This window comes from Homo sapiens, chromosome 1, assembly GCF_000001405.40.
Source record: "Homo sapiens chromosome 1, GRCh38.p14 Primary Assembly".
In the NCBI taxonomy this organism is placed as follows: Eukaryota; Metazoa; Chordata; class Mammalia; order Primates; family Hominidae; genus Homo; species Homo sapiens.
The window spans coordinates 95,085,135-95,091,540 of record NC_000001.11 but is presented as its reverse complement, the minus strand read 5'-3'; the positions used below and the strand labels follow the sequence as shown (position 1 = coordinate 95,091,540).

The window sequence follows — 6,406 nt, the reverse complement described above, 5'->3', positions numbered from 1 at the left end:
GGGACCCAGTACACCCTCCGCAGCCGCTGGCCCAGGTGCTAAGCCCTTCATTGCCCGGGGCCGGCAGGGGTCCGCCAAGCCTACGCCCACCCGGAACTCCAGCTGGCCCGCAAGCGCCCCGCGCAGCCCCGGTTCCCGCTCGCGCCTCTCCCTCCACACCTCCCTGCAAGCTGAAAGAGACGGCTCTGGCCTTGGCCAGCCCAGAAAAAGGGTCCCACAGTGCCGTGGTAGGCTGAAAAGCTCCTCAAGTGCCGCCAAAGTAGGAGCCCAGGCAGACGAGGCGCCGAGAGCGAGCGAGGGCTGTGAGGACTTCCAGCATGCTGTCACCGTTCAGTAGCGCCATTGCAGTCTAGCCTGGGCGACAGTGCAAGACTCCATCTCAAAAACAAACAAACAAAAATGTAGTACAGTAGTCCCCCCTTATTGGCAGAGGATATGTCTCAAGACAATGGATTCCTGAAACCACAATGGTACTGAACCCCATTGCCATCAATCAGAACATGTTTAGATGTCTGCCACCCACAAATTTAATGCCTTTTTCATTATAACAAGACATTAATCACACACTGTGGCTGTAACTTTTGCAATTTGAGGTGCCATAACAAAACTAACATGAATTTTTTTCCTTCTTCACAATCTCATGGACAGAAGATTCGTTCTTACTGTAGATCTTTCTTAATAGTCTCAGCATACAATTTTTTTCTTGCCTTATTAAATTGAGAAATTTTGTCTTTTTATTAAAAGGAAGCACTTTATGGCTTCTCTGTGCTATCTGAATAGCCAGCATCACTAATCTTGTGCTTTGGGGCTATTATTAAGTAAAATAAGTGTTACTTGAACACAAGCACTGCCATACCACAACAGTGGATCATAACTGGGAGGGCTACTAAATGACAAATAGTTGGGTAGCATATACAATATGGACATGCTGTACAAAGGCAGGATTCACCTTCCAGGAGGGATGGCTGGGATAGCATAAGATTTCATCATGCTAGTTATAAGGGTGTACAATTAAAAACTTATGAATTGTCTATTCCTGTAACTTTTCATTTAATATTTTTGGAAATCATGAAAAATGAAACCATGTGGGGACTTGTAGGCTTCTATGCTGTTTGTCACCCATCCATTACATGTGCCAGTGATAGGGACAGGAGGCAGGAAAATTCTGGGCAGAAGAGGGCAGGTCCCCGGTGAGGGTCCCACCTCCAAGCCTGGAACCATGGCCCAAAGAGGGAACGTGCATTCCTGTTTTCCCACTCAAATGTTGCCTTTTCAAAAACTACCCATGGCCTGCCCCACCGTCATCCTGTACCCATAAAAACCCCAGGCTCCACCAGCAGAGAGAAGAGAAAAGGAGAAGGAGCTGGATGTCAGAGAGAAGCAGCTTGACTTCAAAGGGACAGCTTGATGGTGTGGCTTTGGAGAGGAGTCTGACAGGGGATGGCTGGACTCCAGGGGAAGATCACCTTCCCATTCCATCCCTTTTCCAGCTCCCCTTCCCTCTGAGAGCCACTTTCATTGGTAATAAAATTCTCCACATTCACCACCCTTCAATTCGTTCATGAAACCTGATTTTTCCTGCATGCCAAATAAGAGGCATCCCTCCAAAGGCTGTCACACTGACCCTCTGCCCTTGCTGGTGAAGAGCAACTGCCTCATGCAAAACAGCAGAGGGCCCACTGAGCTGTTTAACACTTAAGCCATCCACGGACAGCACAGCTAAAAGCGCACTGTAACACACACTCTCTGGGGTTTTAGGGGTCACAGGTACTCCCCATTAGACACTGCCACGGGGCCTGCACAGAGTTTTGCTCCTGCCGGCACCCAAAAGCACTCACCCCAGCTCCTGCACCTGCTCACCTGCATGCTCCTTCCCATGAGGGGCTGAGCATAATGGGTTCAAGTGAGTGGAGTTTACCCCTGCTAGTGGAGAAATGGCTGGGTAGCCCCAGTGCCCACACTCTGGGTCCTACTCATGAAGCAGTCAGGGAAAATTTCCTGCTTCACCAGGAACTACAATGCAAGTTATTTTTTCAATCTACCTCTTAAATTTGCTTATTCACTAGTTCCTATCATCTACTCATTCATCTTTTCATTGTTTTAATGGTGGCTATTTTAAGATAATCTTAAAAAATAAGTGAGGGCAACTCCCTTAATCTGATCTTTGCTGCAAGGCTAGATCTCTTTCTTTGGCTGAAGAATCTTAATGGGAGGACTTGGAGAAAGTCTCTGAGCAACATTCCAATACCCTGTTTGGACTATAGAAATAATTGAACTTTCCAATACTGGGAGGCCCCAATATTCTGTAAATTCTTCCAAAACCAGACAAGATCAGGCGCATTCAGGGTGGTGTGGCCATAGAGTGTACATTCTTTACTTTCTTCCATCCTGCGTGCAAACCCATCATTTCTTATGTGAGCTCATTGCTTTCTTGAAAAACCTTGCTAAATGCAGCAAAGAGAAACCATTATATATCTATATTCTGGTCTCTTCCAAATGCTTCCCCTAGAATTCAACTACAGAAGGAACATGATCAGCCTTCCAAGTTAAATAGGTAACATTTTTACCAAATGTTTTATCACATCCTAACAAGGATCAACAGTTTCCCAGCCTGAGAGGTCTGTTTCCTCACTGCCAATTTTCTGACTGCTTAGGCAGTACTATGTTTTTGGATTTTAGAAGTTTTCCATTTCCAAGTATCAATTTCTGTATTAGTTAGAGTAAAGGCTAAGAGATCCCAGAATCCAGTGACATAAAGAAAATAGATGTTTCTCTTCCTCTCACCTAACAGCCAGGCCTAGAATAAAAGAGCAGCTCTGTTCTAGGTTTGCCTTTCTAAAATTCAGGTCATAGAGGATCCAGGTTCCTTCCATCTTGTTGTTCCACCCTCTTCTAGGATGTCTTCCCCATCTTCATCATCACAGCTGGTCACAGACATGTCCATGAAAGAGAAAGAAAGCAGTCCAAGGCAAGCCATCTTCCTTTAACAAAGTAAGGCAAAAGTTGTATTCATTGCTCCTAGTTATATTTAATTGGCAAGCACTTACTGACAAAACCACTCCTCACTGCAGAGGAGGATAAGAAATGTAGTTGCCAGCTGAGTGAACACGTGACCAGCAAGAAGGGGAGAACAGTTTTCTGGGGACAACTATTAATCTGCCACAAAAAGTAAAAAGGAAAGATATCCATAGCTAAGAATCCTTAGAAATGCAAAGACCAAAAGGGGATAAATAAGCTTCTTAGACGAAAAGAAAGTGAGAGCCTGAAAAAAACATACAGCAAAATCTAGCTGGTGGGTACCCACGTTTCCGTTTTATGATTTCAAGTACTTTTCTGAATATATTTTATAAATAAAAGTTTTATTTATTTATTTTTTTAAGAGACAGGGTGTGCCTCTGTCACCCAGGCTAGAGTACAGTGGAACCACCATAGCTCACCGCAGCCTTGAACTCCTGGGCTCAAGTGATCCTCCCACCTCAGCCTCCTGAGTAGCTAGGACTACAGGGATGTGCCACCATGCCTAGCTATAATTTTTTTAAAATTTTATTGTAGAGATGGGGTCTCACTATGTTGCCCAGACTGGTCTCAAACTCCTGGCCTTCAGCAATCCTCCTGCCTCTGCCTCCCAAAGTGTTGGGATTACAGGTGTGAGCTACTGTGCTCAGCCAACAGTTTTGTTTTGTTTTTGTAATTTTTAGGAAAGTAGATAGAAAAAGAGAGACCTAAGAAGAATATAAAGATAGAACAATAGTGGTATGAGGAGAATCAAAGAAAATGGTATATTATGTCAATGTCAACATGCTTGTCTAAAAGAAAAGAAAAAAGTCAACAGAAGAAAATAATTTCATAAAAAAGGTTTTTTTCAGTTGGCTAAGAGAAGACAAGAAAGATAAGAAAAGGAAATATTCTTGCTTTCAGATGTCTTATTGTGGAAAGAAAAAAATAATAATATATTTTTTAAAAAGGCAATATTCTTTGGACTTGAAAATACAGATGTTATTAGAGAATAATTATGGTAGAAGTTACATTTCAGTGAATTGGGAAATGAAAATGAACGAGGGAAAATGAGACAGCAAGTATAGCCTGGTCTTTTTTAAGAACACTGGCTTTCACAGAAAGAATCCGACAGTTAAGATGACGACTAGCAATGACTAATTCCATTGGCATGAGTACCACTCTCAGGGGACTGAGCTGGGGTAGCAGTAGTAGGTTGTAAGGTCAAACAGGGAACTCTTCTTTGCCCTCTGAAGGTTTGCTGAAAACTGAACTGACAACAGGCAGATTAATAGGAGAAAAGGGCATACACAGTTTATTTAACCAGCTGGGGGCTGGAGGTGGGGGAAATCACAGGAATGTGGTTACCCGATAACTCAGTGAAGTCCAGATGCTTATATACTCTTCTTCCTAGGGGAAGAGGAGATGGGGAGCAGGGTGTAGGGGAAATGAATGAGGTCAAAAAACAATGGCCTGGAATAAAGTTCCTCTGAACTCTGGAAGAGGTGGCCAGAAGATAAGGGGCAGAACGTCACTGTGAACAAAGGTTGTCTTATACAGAAAAATTCTGCCAGAAAATCTCTTGGAGCTGCCCTCAGAAGAATAAATGAAAAGTCTGTCTGAGCATGGCAAAGATTCCCAGTCTCTTTTTTTATCCGGTGGTAATCTTTCCTGGTTATTTTTTAATTTTTAATTTTTTTTTTTTGAGACGGAGTTTCAGTCTTTGTTGCCCAGGCTGGAGTGCATTGTGCAATCTTGGCTCACCAACACCTCCGCCTCCTGGGTTCAAGGGATTCTCCTGCCTCAGCCTCCCAAGTACCTGGGAATACAGGCATGCGCCACCACGCCTGGCTAATTTTGTATTTTTAGTAGGCACGGGGTTTCTCCATGTTGGTCAGGCTGGTCTAGAACTCCCGACCTCAGATGATCCACCTGCCTCAGCCTCCCAAAGTGCTGGGATTACAGGCGTGAGCCACGGCGCCCAGCCTCTTTCCTGGTTATTTGATAAAATTCCTAGGGAGGGGGTCTTAAGACAATTGCATTTCTTTTGTAAAAAAACTTTACTAGTCAGATAAGGAAATTCCAGAGACAGAGTCCCTCCCTGTGCTTCAGAAAGAAAGAGGATCCCAGAGACAAAGGGCAGGGAAAGGTCAGAGAGAGACCTTGGTTCTGAGTCTTATTTCCGAAGCCTTTCAATTTTCTTTAATTCAAGGTACTAGGCATGCCAAAGTACCATATTCCAGGGCATTGTTTTCTAAGCCCCAACAGAGTCCAAAAGACTAGGGTTGTTCACAGTTCTTCTACTGCCCAGGGTTGTCCACAGTTCTTCTTCTACTGCCCAGCATACATATAGTGCACATCTTGGCTGGACACAGTGGCTCATGCCTGTAATCCAGACCTTTGGGAGGCCGAGGTGGGAGGATCTCTTGAGGCCAGGAGTTTGAGACCAGCCTGGGCAACATGGTGAGACCCTGTCTCTACAAAAAAAATTTTTTTAAAGATTAGCCAGGCTGGGCAACATGGTGAGACCATGTCTCTACAAAAAAATAAAATAAAATAAAATAAAATATTAGCGAAGCATGGTGGCATGCACATGTAGTCACAGCTACTCAGAGGGCTGAGGTGGGAGGATCACTTGAGCCCAGGAGTTCAAGGCTGCAGTGAGCTACAATCATGCTACTGCTCTCCAACCTGGGTAAGAGAGAAGAAGAACCGCCTCAAAAAAGAAAAGAAAAGAAAAGAAATGCATCTTGAACAGCCGGAAAAACAGAGTGCTCTGTATCTTAGGTTGGAAAAGTTTTCTCAAAGTTCAGAACTTCTCTTGAATGTGTTGGTTAAAACTTAGAATAACCAGATCTTGGGGCCTCCAGAGATAGTACCCTCTATCTCCACTCTCACAGTCAGTAACTGCCACTGTTGCATGAGATAGATAGCTTGTTCCCTGGAGAGTCAGGGGTCCAAATTGGGTGTAGAGATGAAGAAGGACCAGAAAACACCTTAGCCACAGCTGGAGTTTGGGCAAAGCCCTACCCTTTCAGAACATCAACTGAGGTGGAAGGGGTCAATAAACAAATACATCTGAAGAAGCATATGAATCAGCAACAGTAAATCTTATAAACTTCAGGCACCTTTCTTTGGCAGACTAAACTCGAATATTCAACCGCCCCCTCCCCCACCTTCCATTCTAAACTTCCGTAAGAGACTCAGAGTCAACAAATTCTAAAGTTGGCTCTAATTCTTCAAAGTAGTAGAGAAAGCAGGAATCTCTTGTTCTTATATAATAAAGCCAAAATTCCTTTAAAAAATATTATTTCACAGAGAAAGGATTAGATTTTGTTGTCTCTGAGGAAATTGAATGCTTTTTATTACAACGAGTGCTTACATTCTAAGTGACACAGCTCACTTCTCACAT

The 6,406-nt window shown here is 43.7% G+C and overlaps 2 annotated features.

Annotated features, from left to right (window-relative positions):
• Positions 4,055-4,519: a transcriptional cis regulatory region, noted in NCBI's record as "candidate enhancer chr1.7353 targeted for multiplex CRISPR interference". NCBI's record gives its function as "positively regulates TLCD4 gene expression with high confidence in K562 cells {active_cell/tissue: K562}" and the evidence as "EXISTENCE:mutant phenotype evidence [ECO:0000015][PMID:30612741]".
• Positions 5,697-6,345: a transcriptional cis regulatory region, noted in NCBI's record as "candidate enhancer chr1.7352 targeted for multiplex CRISPR interference". NCBI's record gives its function as "positively regulates TLCD4 gene expression with high confidence in K562 cells {active_cell/tissue: K562}" and the evidence as "EXISTENCE:mutant phenotype evidence [ECO:0000015][PMID:30612741]".